The sequence below is a fragment of the Homo sapiens genome, chromosome 20, assembly GCF_000001405.40.
Source record: "Homo sapiens chromosome 20, GRCh38.p14 Primary Assembly".
Taxonomy (NCBI): domain Eukaryota; kingdom Metazoa; phylum Chordata; class Mammalia; order Primates; family Hominidae; genus Homo; species Homo sapiens.
The window spans coordinates 25,576,776-25,594,241 of NC_000020.11; the positions used below are offsets into that span (position 1 = coordinate 25,576,776).

At 48.1% G+C, this 17,466-nt stretch overlaps 1 protein-coding gene across 13 annotated transcripts in view, besides 2 other annotated features; it reads right to left on the reverse strand.

The window, feature by feature from the left end:
• NINL (ninein like) overlaps positions 1–8,756 on the reverse strand; it is a 132,835-nt gene extending 124,079 nt beyond the window's left edge. For 8 of the 13 annotated variants that reach the window (XR_007067446.1, XR_007067445.1, NM_001318226.2 and 5 more), the window contains exon 1: positions 8,680–8,756. Coding sequence is in view for 5 of the 13 variants with exons in the window: in XM_047440022.1 (XP_047295978.1) it covers positions 7,833–7,875 (43 nt within the window). In the remaining 8 variants the exon portion in view is untranslated. Of the gene's footprint in view, positions 1–7,803 lie in introns of all 13 variants that reach the window. The other 5 variants (XM_047440026.1, XM_047440020.1, XM_047440025.1 and 2 more) reach the window with 2 other exon arrangements.
• Positions 2,338–2,632: a silencer, noted in NCBI's record as "tiled region #10614; K562 Repressive non-DNase unmatched - State 22:ReprW". NCBI's record gives its function as "represses a minimal TATA promoter and a strong SV40 promoter by Sharpr-MPRA in K562 cells {active_cell/tissue: K562}" and the evidence as "EXISTENCE:reporter gene assay evidence [ECO:0000049][PMID:27701403]".
• Positions 8,691–8,820: a silencer, noted in NCBI's record as "silent region_12753". NCBI's record gives its function as "represses an Ori minimal core promoter by ATAC-STARR-seq in GM12878 lymphoblastoid cells {active_cell/tissue: GM12878}" and the evidence as "EXISTENCE:reporter gene assay evidence [ECO:0000049][PMID:35858748]".

The following is a 17,466-nucleotide window of genomic DNA, read 5'->3' on the forward strand; positions in this document are numbered from 1 at the left end:
GTGAAAGTCTACAATGATAAGAGTCTTACTTTATGTGCACAGTTGGAAATAATAAAAATTCAGTAAGAATTTAAAATGTATCAAGAATTGCTTCGCTTTAAAGCTGTGCAACAGTGTACACTATCAAGTACAGTTTAAAACTTTTGCCACAGAGCAAGGCCTGGCTGGTCTTGAACTATGCAGGCTGTGGACTGTGTCCACTTCAGACCTGCCCCTGCAAACATCCTGCTTGACACAGTTTCCTGAGGAACCGTACCAGAAATCAGTACAGGCCATTAATGTAGATTGTGGGGTTCCGAAATTGGGCATCCACGTTTCTGTCCCTACCCAGAGTTGGGGAAAATCTCAGCCTGTCACTTACCTTCATTTGGGGCCTTGGAGAGCAGTGACAACGTTGCCTGAAGCAGGGAGCTAACTGGCCGGGCTGCAGCCCGCCCTCTGGAGTCCCTGCTGGTCATCCCAGGACCGTGGGTACTCAGTTTTACTCACTGGTCCACATGGAGACACGCGTCCCCAAGTCTGTTCAAGGCCCTGCCGCCTCTCCTGTGTTGGAGACCTGGCACGCTACCCACTTCTGCCTGCCTGGTTTTGTCCTCCTCCCGAGCATGGCTGGAAGTCCCAAGGCCACGTGGCCGGACAGTCCAGCACATCCCTCCTCAGGTCACTTGAGTACAGGACAGGCAGAGGCCTTCCAGATACAAGGAGCTCTCCCTGGGGTTGGGACAACCTACTCAAAATCTGCACCGAGCAGACTCTCCCTGTTGATTTTTAAATAATTAATAGCTGTTTACTACATTCCTATGCCCTTGAAACGAAAACTCCAAGTTAGTGAATATTGCACTATATTGACTGATGCTGGTTCTCATGTTTAGGGTCTGACACCACCCATGACTCTAAGGGGAACCTGGAGGTCCTCTTTGTGAATAGAGCTCCTGTGAGGTCCATCCTGGCGGGGGAGCCCACCACCCCTCTTTGTGTGGGGCCAGCAGAAGCTCGGGGCTTACTACTGTCCTAGTCCCAGGAACAGACTCATTTTTCTGAAATATTTTCTTTTCTTTTCTTTTTTTTTTTTTTGAGATGGAGTTTCACTCTCGTTGCCCAGGCTGGAATGCAATGGCGCGATCTCGGCTCACTGCAATCTCCACCTCGCAGGTTCAAGAGATTCTCCTGCCTCAGCCTATGGAGTAGCTGGGATTACAGGCATGTACCACCACACCTGGCTAATTTTGTATTTTTAGTAGAGATGGGGTTTTTCCACGTTGGTCAGGCTGGTCTTGAACTCTCAACCTCAGGTGATCTGCCTGCCTCGGCCTCCCAAAGTGCTGGGATTACAGGCGTGATTTTTTTTTTTTTTAGACGGAATCTCACTCTGGCGCCCATGGAGTGCAGTAGCGCAATCTTGGCTCACTGCAACCTCCGCCTCCCAGGATCAAGCGATTCTTCCATGTCAGCCTCTGGCGTAGCTGGGATTACAGGTGTGCCCCACCACACCTGGCTAATTTTTCTATTTTTGGTAGAGACGGGGATTCACCATGTTGGTCAGGCTGGTCTCAAATTCCTGACCTCAAGTGATCTGCCCGCCTCAATCTCCCAAAGTGCTGCGATTACAGGTATAAGCCACCTCGCCCGGCCCTGAAATGTTATTTCCATGGGCGCACACACGCACACAAAGCCACAAAAAGCAAAGCACAATTCATTAAGTCCTTAATACTCTTGCTTAAAAATGGAATTTGATTAGCTGGGCGCAGTGGTTCATACCTGTAATCCCAGCACTTTGGGAGGCTGAGGCAGGTGGATCATGAGGTCAGGAGACCGAGACCATCCTGGCTAACACGGTGAAACCCCGTCTCTACTAAAAATAGAAAAAATTAGCCGGGCATGGTGGCGGGCGCATGTAGTCCCAGCTACTCAGGAGGCTGAGGCAGGAGAATGGCGTGAACCTGGGAGGTGGAGCTTGCAGTGAGCGGAGATCGCCCACTACCACTCTAGCCTGGGTGACAGAGCGAGACTCCATCTCCAAAAAAAAAAAAAAAAAAAGGAATTTGATCAAGCAGTAAAGCTCAAGCAAAATTAAATTAAATTAAATTAAATGGAGTCATGCACATGCCTGTAGTCCCAGCTACTTGGGAGGCTGAGGTGGGAGAATGCTTGAACCCAGGAGTTCAAGTCAAGCCAGGCAACACAGTGAAACCCTGTCTCTAAAACATAAATAAATAAAATAAAAATGGGACTTTGAGCTAACAGTCCTCATACTGCTTCTCAACCAGCATGTGTAGACAGGATCACATAAGTCACAGCTTTTCTCTAGCACTGAAAATACCTCATCTTCTTGTTAAGGTAAAGAAATGATATAGTCCCTCGGAGGCAGTAAGGGATGTTGGAAACCCCACTGTGTTGGGAGGCACAGCAGGGGACATGGAATTTGCAGAGCCTCTCCAGACCGGAGCACCCCTGACCTCCATGTGACCCTGAGTATGTTATTATCCTCTCTGACCCTCGCACTCTCTGTGTGTGAGATGGGGGCAACAGTACACCCCGGCTCAGCCTCCTGCTATGAGTACTCCGTGAAAGAATTTAACAAAAACACTGAGAACAGTGCCTGGCACCTACTGAATGCTCATTCAAAATTTAAAAACAAAACACCAGGAGACCTGAGCTCCATTTCTGGCAGCCACAACCAGTGCACAAGTCATGCACGGGGACTGGGCACAGGTGACACGCTACCTTATGGTGAGGCTCACACAGCCCCCACGGACCAGGCACCCAAAAGCCTGTCCTTCCTGTCCCCACACCCCCACGCCACCCTGCCTCTGGAGACAGCCGGGGGAGGCCTCCTGGTGACTGGTTCAAATGGCCCAGGACTCCACTACCCTGGCTGGGGGCACCAGCTGTCACTCCTCATTCTTCAGAGAGGCACAGAAGCCACAGAAGCCAAGCTCCCTCTCTCCATGGATGTGAGAGGCTGTGTGCAGAAGAGAAGCCACCTGCGTCCCTCAGGGCCACTTCAACAATGGAGCAGCCCATCCTGAGGTCTTCGGTGAACTCCCTGTTTATTTAAGCCAGACTGAGTTGGGTTTTCCAACACTAGTGGCTAAAATATCCTAACTGATATACTCTACAAATGTAAAATTCTTTACCAGAGGCTTAAAAACTGAGAGATTTTGAAGAGTGATTGCCCCTCAGGTCTCTGACCACTCTTAGAAACTCCAACAAACCAAAATTGTTACTTTACTCAACAAAGCAGATCCAAAAATAAGGTTATAAGAAGATGTGTGGGCTGGGCATGGTGGCTCAAGCCTGTAATCCCAGCACTTTGGGAGGCCGAGGCGGGTGGATCACCTGAGGTCAGGAGTTCGAGACCAGCGTAGACAACGTGGTGAAACCCCGTCTCTACTAAAAAATACAAAAATTAGTTGGGCGTGGAGGTGGACACCTATAATCCCAGCTACTCAGGAGGCTAAGACAGGAGAATTGCTTGAACCCAGCAGGCAGAGGTTGCCGTGAGCCAAGATTGCGCCATGGCACTCCAGCCTGGGCAACAGAGTGAGACTCCACCTAAAAAAAAAAAAAAAATGTAATGATTGCCCCTTATGAGATACAAAGTAACAATCAATGCACAAAAATTGGTATATCCTAGAGGTTCTCAAACTTGATTGCTTCAGAGGTACCTAGAGAGCTCTCCTGTTTCAGAAACTAACAAATGACTTCGACTCCAGGGAGACTATACAGCAGTCTTGAGGGAAACGGGTCACCTCGCTTGGAGGATGATGGAAGGCTCCATTATCTTTCTGAAGTCCAAGGAAAGACAATCGGGTTCAGAAAGGGAAGTACAACCAGGCAGCGCCAGATGCATGCTTGAACCTAGGTCAAAAAAGGATGAAAATACAAGCCATGCTCTAAAAGACTCCTCTGTCCCAGAAAATTGTCTGTCCATTCACAAACAACAATAATCAGAATCCAGGAGGCTCAAAGTTGCCCCAAGGTGGGAGAAGGAAAGCCTGCCTCCAAATAGCTCCAGGTAGAGTATGACCCAAACTTTTGGCCTCAGCTTGTGAGTAACCAAATGTCTTGGCCTTGGGCCTGAATTCCTAATCTGCACTTGAAGCCAAGGACTAAGCTAAACTCAAACCTAGATTCCAGTTACAGCCACCGCGGCTTAACTACTTACACAATAACCAAGGAATGGAACAGCAAAGTGGCCACAGCGCTGGAAATGCCTTCCAGGGCAGAGGACGCTATTACCTGCAGCTAGGAAGCCATGCCAGTTCAGGTGTGAGGCCAAGACACTGCTCCTGTTTTTGCTTCCTGCTTCCAAATCTGTCTTGTGCCAGGAAAGAGGAAAGCTATCTAGTAGCTACCTGCTCATGGCAAGATCCAAAAGTAGGCTGGGTGCAGTGGCTCACGCCCGCAATCCCATCATCGCTTTGGGAAGCCAAGGCAGGTGGATCATTTGAGGTCAGGAGTTTGAGACCAGCCTGGCCAACATGGCGAAACTCTGTCTCTACTAAAAATACAAAAATTAGCTGAGCGTGGTCAGGCACATATAATCCCAGCTACTCAGGAAGCTGAGACAAGAGAATCGCTTGAACCCGGGAGGCAGAGATTGCAGTGAGCCAAGATTGTGCCACTGCACTCCAACCTGGGTGACAGAGCGAGACTCCTTCTCAGTTTAAAAAAAAAAAAAATCCAAAGGTAAATGTCCACCATAGAAAGAATGTGCTCACAGAGCCCCGCTCACATGCTCTAAGTCTCAAATGCCACATGTGCCATCTTCTAAAAAACTTAAAAAGAGTCATTAGTGGTTTAAATGATGACAGATTGAATTGATCTGTATTGGCAAATAAAAGTGGGATATGTGTGTTTATGTAAAGTTCAGGTGCAATAAAAATTAGCGGATAACTCTTTTTTGTAGAATGAGAAAATAGCAAGCCTTCTCCAAGGAACTTGAACTCACTGTAAAAGGGGAAGCTACAGACACTGTTGGAACTTTGCCATTCTTGTTATTCTATTTTCCATCACCAAATGTTCAAAGGATACCCAAACATTAAAAGACTTACAACATGCTCTTAGCAAATGACCATATCAATTCACCCACCTTAGAGCAGTCCTATAAATCACAACATATGGGATAAGTATGAGTTAGCGAAAAAGTTTCCATTGAAGTTAATATAAACTGCTCAATTAAATTTTGCTCAAGTCCGGCCAGGCGTGGTGGCTCACGCCTGTAATCCCAGCACCTTGGGAGGCCGAGCGGGGTGGATCACGAGGTCAGGAGATGGAGACCATCCTGGCCAACATGGTGAAACCCCGTCTCTACTAAAATAAAAAAATTAGCTGGGCATGGTGGTGTACTCCTATAATCCCAGCTACTCAGGAGGCTGAGGCAGGGGAATCACTTGAACCTGGGAGGTGGAGGTAGCAGTGAGCCGAGATCGCGCCACTGCACTCCAGCCTGGCGACAGAGCGAGACTCCATATCAAAAACAAACAAACAAACAAACAAAAAACAAAACTTTTTGCTTAAGTCCTAACTATTCCTCTATAAAGTGCTTTCTTTCCAATTTGATGGAGTTAAATGTTATCTGAGGTCAGGTGTGGTGGCTCATACCTGTAATCCCAGCATTTTGGGAGGCTGAGGCAGGTGGATCACTTCAGCCCAGGAGTTGGAGACCACCCTGGGCAAGACTCCCGGCTCTACATTAAAAAGAAAAAATCTGAAGTCCAAGTTCCTTGGAGAAGGCTTGCTATTTTCTCATTCTACAAAAAAGAGTTATCCTCTAATTTTTATTGCACCTGAACTTTACATAAACACACATCCCACTTTTATTTGCCAATACAGATCAATTCAATCTGTCATCATTTAAACCACTAATGGATGATGTATAAGTCAAACAAAAGGGACAAGCATGAAAGTAGACTGCTTCTCTAACACCTGAACATTTTCCTTTTAATATACAAGCATTCTTGCACACAGTTCATAAAACTGCTAGGCTGCTGATTCAGTGTTCTGTTTAACAGATGAGTTTTAACTACTTAAAAAAAAAACAAACTCTGCTTTCTACAACTATCTGATCTTCGACAAACCTGACAAAAACAAGCAATGGGGAAAGGATTTCCTATTTAATAAATTGTGCTGGGAAAACTGGCTAGCCATATGCAGTAAACAGAAACTGGACTCCTTCCTTACACCTTATGCAAAAATTAACTCAAGATGGATTAAAGACTTAAATGTAAAACCCAAAACCATAAAAAACCTAAAAGAAAACCTAGGCAATACTATTCAGGACATAGGCATGGGCAAAGTCTTCATGACTAAACACCAAAAGCAATGGCAACAAAAGCCAAAACTGACAAATGGGATCTAACCTAAGAGCTTCTCCACAGCAAAAGAAACTCTTCAGAGTGAACAGGCAACCTACAGAACGGGGTAAAATTTTTGCAATCTACCCTTCTGACAAAGGTCTAATATCCAGAATATAGAAGGAACTTAAACAAATTTACAAGAAAAAAACAACCCCATCAAAAAGTGGCCAAAGGAAATGAACAGACACTTCTCAAAAGAAGACATTTATGCAGCCAACAACATATATTAAAAAAAAAGCTCATCATCACTGGTCATTAGAGAAATGCAAATCAAAACCACAATGAGATACCATCTCACATCAGTTAGAATGGTAATTATTAAAAAGCAAGGAAACAACAGATGCTGGAGAGGCTGTGGAGGAATAGGAACGCTTTTACACTGTTGGTGGGAGTGTAAATTAGTTCAACCATTGTGGAAGACAGTGTGGCGATTCCTCAAGGATCTAGAACCAGAAATAACATTTGACCCGGTGATCCCATTACTGGGTATATACCCAAAGGACTATAAATCATTCTACTATAAAGACACATAAACGTGTATGTTTATTGCAGCACTATTTACAATAGCAAAGACTTGGAACCAACCCAAATGCCCATCACGGATAGACTGAATAAAGAAAATGTGGTACAGATACACCATGGAATACTACGTAGCCATAAAAAAGAATGAGTTCATGTCCTTTGCAGGGACATGCATAAAGTGGGAAGCCATCATTCTCAGCAAACTAACACAAGAACAGAAAACCAAACACCGCATGTTCTCACTCATAAGTGGGAGTTGACAATGAGAACACATGGACACAGGGAGGGGAACATCACACACCTCACACATCGGGACCTGTCGGGGCGGGTGGGGGGCAAGAGGAGGGAGAGCATTAGGACAAATACCTAATGTATGTGGGGCTTAAAATCTAGATGACGGGTTGATAGGTGCAGCAAACCATCATGGCACATGTATACCCATGTAACAAACCAGAACGTTCTGCACATGTATCCCAGAACTTAAAGTAAAATAAAATTAAAAAACAAAAACAAAACAAAACAAAAACTTGGCCGGGTGCAGTGGCTCACGCCTGTAATCCCAGAACTTTGGGAGGCCGAGGCAGCTGGATCACCTGAAGGTCAGAAGTTCGAGACCAGCCTGGCCAACATGGTGAAACCCCCATCTCCACTAAAAACACAAAAAATTAGCTGGGCGTGTAATCCCAGCTACTCGGGAGGCTGAGGCAGGAGAATCGCTTGAATCCGGGAGGCAGAGGTTGCAGTGAGCCGAGATGGCGCCATTGCACTCCAGCCTGGGCAACAAGAGTGAAACTTCGTTTCAAAAACAGCAACAACAACAAGAACAACAACAAGAAGAACAAAAACTCTGCTTTTAAAAGTATTTTAAGTCCAGTGTGAAAAACCTAGAAGTCACAGCAAAGGCCGCTAAGAAACTTACCATTACTCATGACCCCTCTTACTACTGACCTTGAAAATCACTTGCCCTTCTCCAAGGCCCCGCCAGCTTCATGGGTCTCTTCCTGAACCTCCTCCCTAGTTCCAGGGCTTGGCCTAAGTCTCACAGAGCAGAAAGAAACGTGGCCACCCTTCCTCACGTGAGTCCTGTGCAAACATACAGCCCCACACAGAGCTCCTAACAATGGGGCATCAGTACCCAGGCACGATCGATGATTATGAACCCAACGCGATCAGAGACTCCCACATGGTGTGTGTGACTGCGCGCACAGGCGGGAGGAAAGGGGCGAATCTGCAAAACGAGTACAACAGATAAAATTCGCAACAGACTTCTACACCCTTTCAATCAACCGTCCCAAGCGCCACGAACGCGGGTCCCGCTCCGTGGGGGGCCGCAGCCACACTGGCAGGAGGGAATCCTGGGCCTCGACCAGACGCCGGCGGCGTCAGGAGAAACGGCCCGCGCTGGGCAGGCGGCGGGCACCGCGTAGCTCATTACCACGGGGGGCCCCGGCCAAGGCCGCCCGCCTCAGGCCGAGCCTTGGGGCTGTGCTGGACCCGGGCCCTCGTTCGCACGGCGCCCGCGCCGCCGCCGTCGGGAAACCGGGTTTTCAAGCGTTCGGCCCAGCGGGCGCTGTATTTTAGGGCGTGACCCCCGCCCCGCCCTCGAGGGCGACCGGAAGAGCAGGCACCACAGCAGATGCGCCGAGTCTGCGCCCCGCACCGCGAGGAGCACCCGAGGCCGCGCTCCCGGAGCCGGGTCTGGTGACTAAGGCGCGGGTCGCGACGCAGGGGCGGCCCCGGACTCTCGACCCCACCAGCCGCCTGAATGTCCCGCCGGACGCCCGGGCCGGCTCACCTGGGAGGCGCCTCCGCCGTCCGCCCGCGCGGGGCCAGGAGCGCGGCACCACCCCCGTACCGCCGGCCGCTCTTTGTGTCTGGAGGCCGCGACGCAACACTCCTCCCGGCCTCGAGGCACCGCCCCCTCGGTGTCCCGGCGCAGTGGGCGAACAGGGGGCGGGGCGAGCGAACGGGAGAGGGGGCGGGTCGGGTCCGGGATTGCGGGGCGGGGTGGGGGCAAGGCGGCCTCCGCAAATCTCAGGGCGGCTCTGGCCAGTTTGGAGCCTGGGGTGACCCTTGGAGCTGACCTCGCTGGTCCCTGTCGGAGCCCTGCGCGCTGCGGAGCTTGGCGGTTCGCAGCTCTCGGGGTAGCATCTTCTGGAAACAAGCCCGGAGGCCGGCCAGGCAGGGGTAATACCCCAAACCCACCACTGAGGAAACCGCGACTTAAAACCTAGGTCGTCACGTTTCCACCGCATATTAAATCAATACGGGTTGAGCATCCCTAATCCAAACATCTGAAATCCGAAATGCTTCAAAATCTGAAAGTTTTTGAGCGCTGACCTGATGCTCAAAGGAAATGCACATTGGAGCACTTCTTTTTTCTTCTTTTAACTTTCTTTTCTTTTGAGAAAGGCTGTCACTTCTGCTGCCCAGCCTGGGATGCAGTGGCGCGGTCATGGCTCACTACAGCCTCGACTTTCCCGGCTATGGCGATCCTCCCGCCTCAGCGTCCCAACCCCCAGTAGCTGGGACTGCAGGCATCTGCCACCATGTCCGCTAATTTTTGTATTTTTAGCACAGAGTCTCACTGTGTTGCCCAGGCTGGTCTCGAACTCCTAGGCTCAAGGGATGGATCCACCGCCTCGGCCTCCCAAAGTGCTGGGATTACAGGCGTGAGCCACCGCGCCCGGCCTGTATTTTTTTAAGAGAGGAGGCTTCACCATGTTGCCCAGGCTGGTCTGGAATTTCTGGCCTCAAGTGATCCTCCCACCTTGGCCTCCCATAGTGCTGGGATTACTGGCATGAGCCACCGCACCTGGCCTCATTGGAGCATTTCTAATTTTGGATTTTCAGATTAGGGGTGTTCAATTGGTATAATGCAAATATTCCAAAATCTGAAATCCTAAATGCTTCTGGTGCCAAGCATCTCGGTTAAGGGATATTCAACCTGTATATATTTATCGAACACCTACTAGGGCCAGGCATTGTCCTAGGGGCTGCCAACAGCGGTGCAAAAAATCCCTGGCCCTTATAGAGTTTACACAGAAAACAATTTAAAAACGTAAATACCCGGCCGGGCATAGTGGCTCATGCCTGTCATCCCAGCACTTTGGGGGGCTGAGGCAGGCGGATCACCTGAGGTCGGGAGTTCAAGACCAGCCTGACCAACATGGAGAAACCCCGTCTCTACTAAAAATACAAAATTAGCCGGGCGTGATGGCATATGCCTGTAATCCCAGCTACTCAGGAGGCTGAGACAGGAGAATCGCTTGAATCTGGGAGGCGGAGGTTGTGGTTATCAAGCCACTGCACTCCAGCTTGGGCGACAGAGTGAGACTCCATTTCAAAAAAAGAAAAAAAAAAGTAAATACAGCCAGGCACGGTGACTCATGCCTGTAATCCCAGTAGTTTGGGAGGCCACTGTGGGCAGATTGCCTGAGGACAGGAGTTCGAGACCAGCGTGGCCAACATGGTGAAACCCAGTGTCTACTGAAACACAAAAAAATTAGCCAGTTGTGGTTAACGCGCGCCTGTAGTCCCAGCTACTCGTGAGGCTGAGGCACAAGAATTGCATGAACCCAGGAGTCGGAGGTTGCAGTGAGCTGAGATCTTGCCACTAGACTCCAGCTTGGGCGACAGAGCAAGACTCTGTCTCCAAAAAATAAAAATAAAAACATAAATATACAAAAATGTCAGAGAGTTATATCAGAATTACAAAATGAGCTACAGTACACTGTAGCATGAGAAAGGTGCATATACTTTGTAGGAACTCCACTTTAGAGGATGTGAGGATCAGAGGCAAAATGGGGTGAGAAGGAAGCAGGATGAAAGACAGGCTATGGGGGAACGGAGTTTCCAAGGGCGAGTGAAATTTCCAAGTGCCTGCAAGTGCTAAACCCCATGCAGAGCAAAAGGCAAACACAGGGAGTGGTTCAGAGACGCTCATAGTGTGTTCTAGGCTGGGAGGTTTCTCTGACCTGCTGAATGTGCCCAGATACCTTTTGCTATGCCCATGACCTGTCCCAACCAGTGTGGGGCACAATGGCAGGACACACCGTGCAAAGGTGGTCCCTGTGGGATGCGCAGCCAAGACCCCGATGACTCCAGTTTATAACCCTGGATTCCCAGGGGTGCTCAGAGCCATGGGGGCTGCCATTGTGAAGAATGTCTTCTCTTCAGTGCTCCTGATGCTCTGCACGGGCTCCCACTCACTGGCTGGAGAATGAATTTGGAGTCAGAAGATGTGAATCATGCCACTTACTAGCTGTTTGACTGTGGATCACCCAGTCATGTAACATCTGTGATCTCAGTTTCATTTGCAAAATAGAAATGTAAAAATTACCCATTGCACAGGAGTGTACTGAATTTATTTGTTATTTTATTTCTTGAGACAGGATCTCAGTCTGTTACCCAGGCTGGAGTGTGGTGGTGTGATCACAGCTCACTGCAGCCTTGATCTCCTGGGCTCAAGTGATCCTCCCACCTCAGCCTCCCAAATAGCTGCATTACAGATGCACCCCCACACCTGGCTAACTTACTAATTTTTTGTAGAGATGGGGTCTATGTTGCCCAGGCTGGTCTTGAACTCCTGGGCTAAAATGATCCTCCCACTTTGGCCCCCCAAAGTACTGAGATTGCAGGCATGAGGCACCGTGCCCAGTTGAGCATACCGAATTTAAATGAGTTAATGTAGTGGTTCTTCATCAGAGAGAAGTGGGAAGACTAGGAGTTCTCCACTTTGACTACTTAAAAATTAAAAACACCAGTGCCTGCATCCTACCTCCAGACATTCCAATTTTATTGTCGTGTAGAGAAAACTCTCCACTCTCACACCGCACAACAGTCAACACAGAAGACCTATGACTAAATGTGTGTGGGGTTTTCTCCACACACTGAGCAGCAGACACCAGCTGGGCATCCTCTAATTCAGTTCTGTCACTACCTGGAGAGAGTGTCAGATCCCACAAGTTGAGGACTCAGTCCCCAAGACTCCTCACATACATCAGTTGCAAGGCCGGGCCTCTGCAGAACTTCTGACAGATCAGCTTCAAGTTGGGGTTCCCATGACCCCCTGACCCCCTGTTTGGTTTCGATTAATTTGCTACCTGTGAGTGGCTCACAGAACTCAGAGAAACGCTTATGTTCACTGGTTTATTTTTATTTATTTATTTTTGAGACGGAGTGTTGCTCTGTCGCCCAGGCTAGAGTGCAGTGGTGCGATCCCAGCTCACTGCAACCTCCGCCTACCAGGTTCAAGTGATTGTCATGCCTCAGCCTCCCAAGAAGCTGGCACTACAGGCATGCGCCACCACACCTGGCTAGATTTTTATATTTTTAGTAGAGACAGGGTTTCGTCCTGTTGGCCAAGCTGGTCTCGAACTCCTGACCGCAGGTGATCTGCCTGCTTTGGCCTCCCAAAGTGCTGGGATTACAGGCGTGAGCCACCATGCCTGGCCCACTGGTTTATTATAATGGATATTGTAAAGGACACAGGTGAAGAGACACATAGGGCAAGGTTTGGAGGAAGGGGCAGAGCTTCCATACCTCCCTGGGCACCACCCTCCAGGAACCTCCACTGTTCACCTACCCAGAAGTTCACTGAACCCTGTCCTCTTGGGGTTTTATGAAAGCTTCATGATATCAGCATTCCTTCTCCCAGGGAATAGGGTGAGACCCTCTCATGGGAGAGTCTTAAGACCTGCAATCGACGGCAGGGCGCGGTGGCTCACTCCTGTAATCCCAGCACTTTGGGAGGCCGAGGTGGGCGGATCACAAGGTCAGGAGATCGAGACCATCCTGGCCAACATGATGAAACACCATATTTACTAAAAATACAAAAATTAGCTGGGCGTGGTGGCACACACTTATAGTCCCAGCTACTTGGGAAGCTGAGGCAGGAGAACCGCTTGAACCCGGGATGCGAAGAAGTTACAGTGAGCCAAGGTCGCACCACTGCACTCCAGCCTGGGCAACAGAATGAGACTCCATCTAAAAATAAAATAAAAAAAAAAAAGACCCACAATCAGAAAGCCAGGAGGAGGTCAGGGGCCTGCCCATGAGGCCCAACACAACAATATAACAAAGGACTGTAGCAAGGGCTATGGGAGTCATGTGCCAGTAACTGTGGATGAAAACCAATGGATATCCTGACACCACAATTGTTCAGGAAAGAACCTTTGAGTCAATCTTGACTCTCTCTCTCATACCTTACAGCGACGTCATCACATCCTGATCGCTCTTCTTTTTAAAAACATTTTCTTGGCCAGGCGCAGGAGAGGCCGAGGTGGGTGGGTCACCTGAGGTCAGGAGTTCATGACCAGCCTGACTAACTTGGTGAAACCCCATCTGTACTAAATACAAAAGAAAAACAGCCGGGCATGGTGGCGCGTGCCTGTAATCCGAGCTACTTGGGAGGCTGAGACAGGAGAATTGCTTGTACCTGGGAGGTGGAGGTTGCAGTGAGCAGAGATCGCGCCATTGCACTCCAGCCTGGGCAACAAGAGCGAAAATCTGTCTCACAAAAAAAGAAACAACAACAAAAAAAACTTTTTCTTTTGAATTAATGTTATCTTTACAGAAAACTTGGAAACGTAGAAAAGAGAGGTTCCATATTCTTCTCACTCAGGTCCTGTAAATATCAGCATCTTACATATCCCTGTTTTTTTTTTTTAAAGTTTAAAAAACTTTATTAAGTATAATGTACACAAGAAAAGTATACATATCATAAGTGTACAGTTTGATAAATTTTCACACACTGATGTAACTAGCATAGGAACATTACCAGTGCCCCTGAAACCCTTCTTCCCTCCCATTCCAATATTACTGCCCCAAAGGGATTATCTTTTCATTTTAATGGAATATTTATATATATTTCTTTCAATGCCTAGAGTTAATCATTATCTATATTAATCTTCAAAACTGGACAAAGGGCAGAATGTTTTTAATTCTCTATCTCTTCTTCATCTCCCATAAAATATTATCTGAGAATTCAATTCTCTATTGTTACTACTTTTAAAACATTAAGAACAGCTTATTTAGATTAACCACTTTCCTGGCTCACCTGCTTCCTATATCTCCTGTCTTTTTGTAGGGGTCTATAGTCATGTTTGATATTCTTTTCAGTTGTCTCCTTTCTCATCCCCCTTTCTATAGTTTGGAAATTTTCTACCTCATAATCTAAACCTTGCTTGCCATGAGAGAATTTGGAAGTAACAGAGATTTGCTTTCCCCGGCTGCCTTGCAGCATGGCCAGGTCTGCCGGTCAGATACACTCTCCCTAAGGAAGCCACAGTCTGTCTTGATGATGGGAGGTGCCAGAGCTGGCAGCTGCTTCTGGTCTCCAGAGGCAACAGGGGTGGTTGTTCTAGTGGGAGTAGCCACTCAATATGTTTCTGAGATATTTCCATGGTTATGTGTTCAGAACTTGCATCCATAGTCCATTTTACTGCTGTAGAAAATTTCCATTGTATAAATGTTACCGGGGGTCCTTGCTCACAGAGCTCCCAAGATGGCGGTGGGCCACTTCCAAGATGGTGGCAAGCCTCGTGTTCTCTGACCTGTGGTTCTTGGCCTCACGGATTCCAAGGAATGGAATCTTGGGCCATGGGTGAGTGTTATAGCTCTATTAGAAGCCGTGGGTCACGGAAGAGAATCGTGGAACCCAGCGACTAGTGTTCAGCTCGATTAGGATGAACCCGGGCACTTAGTCCTGCAGGAACAATGGCAAGCCTTTAGCCCAATCAGGAATGGCAATGGGTGCCTCTCTGGATCAGGAGCACAGTGAACACCCTGCCAGATCCGGAGGGATGGAAGTCAGCGGCAGGTCTCCGATGGCGGCAAACAGCAGTGGTGGACGGCGAGCGAAAGCTCAGCTCAAACCGTAACAAACACAGACCAGAAGAGTGCAGTTGCAAGATTTAATAGAGTGAAAACAGAGCTCCCATACAAAGGGACGGGACCCAAAGGGGGTTGCCCAGCCATGTTTTTTGTAATGGTATAATGGTGTAGTTATCGAAACCAGGAATTTAACATCAGTACATTACTATTAACTAAAGACTTTATTCAGATTTTACCAGTTTCCCACTAATGTCCCTCCCCTTTTCTTGTCAGTGCCGGATCCTTCTAGCATCCAATCACGGCCATTCCAACCCACTCACCCCCACCTTTAGTCTGTGTAATAGTCTCCTGGCCCTCCTCTTGCTTCTACTTTTGCCTCTCTACTTTCCATTTAAGCATTGCTGTTTTTAATTACTGACTCCTCTTGTAATAATCTAGCTTTGGTCTTCAGTTTCTTTCCTCAGGTCCACAGCTTTCCTTTAATCCCATGCTGTTGTTTTGTCTGTCCTGGAGCTCCTGTTCACAAACTAATATTATATTCTTAAGATATTGTAGGCCGGGTACAGTGGCTCACGCCTATAATCCCAGCACTTTAGGAGGCTGAGGATGGAGGATCGCTTGAGCCCAAGAGTCTGAGGCTACAGTGAGCTATGATCGTGCCACTACCCTCCAGCCTGGGCGATACCCTGTCTCAAAAAACAATACCGTGTCTCAAAAAAAAGAAAAAAAAAAGAATACTCTGTCTTTGTTGATTGTGGTATCTGATCTTAACTAGATAGGCTGAAGGCACATGGTTCCCTCCAAAAACCACTATTGGTTCCACTGCCAAAACAAGCCAGCAAAACGACAGTGTAGAGAGGTTGGCTTGCTTCCCTCTCTTCCTAACTGCATGTTGAAAAATAAGCCTTTATTGATCTTAAACATCTGTCAGATGAGTCATACATTGGGTTATTTTTTATATACATGTATACACAAAATATTTCAAATTGAAAGCAACATCTTAATGGATTCAAAACTATTACAAGCTGTTGTCTGAAACATGAGAAAGTTTATAACTGTAAAAGCAAATGCACATATTGATATTTAAAATGCGTAATTAAGGAAAAAAAGAATACTCTGTCTCTTATTTTATTTTAAGCCTCACAGTAATAAACGCCTTTTCCTCAGGTGGTTTAAAGTAGGTTGCCAAGGAGGCCGATCTTGCTCCTTGCCTGCTGCTGTCCTGGGGGAACTGCACAGTTCTAACTGCCTGCAAAACTGAGCCTCCTCCCCGAATGTGAGAACCAGCACTGTTCACTTTTCAGATGTGGGGCATTGTTCTAAACGCTTCAGAAGGTCTTAGAGGCCAGAGAGAAGTGGGAGCTGTGTGGCTGGGGCCAGACACATCAAATAATGAAGACAGAGAAGGCAATGGCAGGTTAAGATGCGTGCAGGAAACTCAGCTGGAAAGACAGGCAGGAAGGCACCAGAGCTAGTGGGAAAAGTGGCCCACGGAGCAGATACAGCTGGCATGTAAAAGGAAGTAGTAGAATTTAGCTACAAACTAAATGGTGAAGTAAGAGGCAAAGAGAAATGAACATCAGAAATGCCTCCCGCCGGATGCAGTGTCTCACGCCTGTAATCCCAGCACTTTGGGAGGCCGAGGTGCGTGGATCACCTGAGGTCGGGAGTTTGAGACCAGCCTGACCAATATGGAGAAACCCCATCTCTACTAAAAATACAAAACTAGCCCGGCATGGTGGTGTATGCCCGTAATCCCAGCTACTTGGGAGGCTGAGGCAGGAGAATCGCTTAAACCTGGGACCGGAGTTTGCAGTGAGCCGGGATCGTGCCACTACACTCTAGCCTGGGCAACAAGAGTAAAACTCCATCGCAAAAAAAAAAAAAAATGCCTCCCAAGGGCTGGGCACAGTGGCACATGCCTATAATTCCAGCGCTTTGGGAGGCCGAGGTGGGCAAATCACTTGAAGCCAGGAGTTTGAGTCCAGCCTGTGTAATGTGGCAAAACCCTGTTTCTATGAAAAATACAAAAATTAGCTGGGCATGGTGGCGACCACCTGCAGTCCCAACTACTTGGGAGGCTGAGGAGGGAGGATCACATGAGCATGGGACATCCAGGCTTCAGTGAGCCGAGATTGCACTACTGCACTCCCAGCCTGGGCAACAGGAGTGCTGTGCCTTACCAGGGTAGAGCCTTGCTGCCTCCCAAATGTTTCTCCTCTAGTCTCTCTATCTGTTGTGATAAAATGAGCTTCATCTTCCTAAAAACCTGCTTTGATCACTCCTCCTTTCCCCAGGGCCTTTGGTGACTCCACACTAACTAGACGGAGAAATCCAGATTCACAAACCTTCACCCAGCCTCCTTCACAGAAATCCCAGACCCTGTTTCCAGCTTCTCCCATCACATCCCATGAGCCCTGCCTCCAGGAAAACCAGGTACTTGCTGACTCTGGGGAGTGCCCCTGGCACTCTTGCCTTAGTGTTTTAAACACACCATGCCTCCTTTCCATCAACTCGAATCTGTCCATTCATCAGGGCTGTGCTCAAATCTGTCTTTTTCTGAGAAGACCTCCAGAGCAACTGCAGTCCTCCACCCCATCCGTTGAATAAGGAGTCCTGCTCTGCCTTGGACCATTCATTCTGGTGTCCTGGTCTGTTAAGTACTATGACACTAAGGTTCCACCGGTAGGTCCTACTTGTTTGAGTCCCAACAAGATTGTAAATTGCCACAGTCAAGAATGATGAG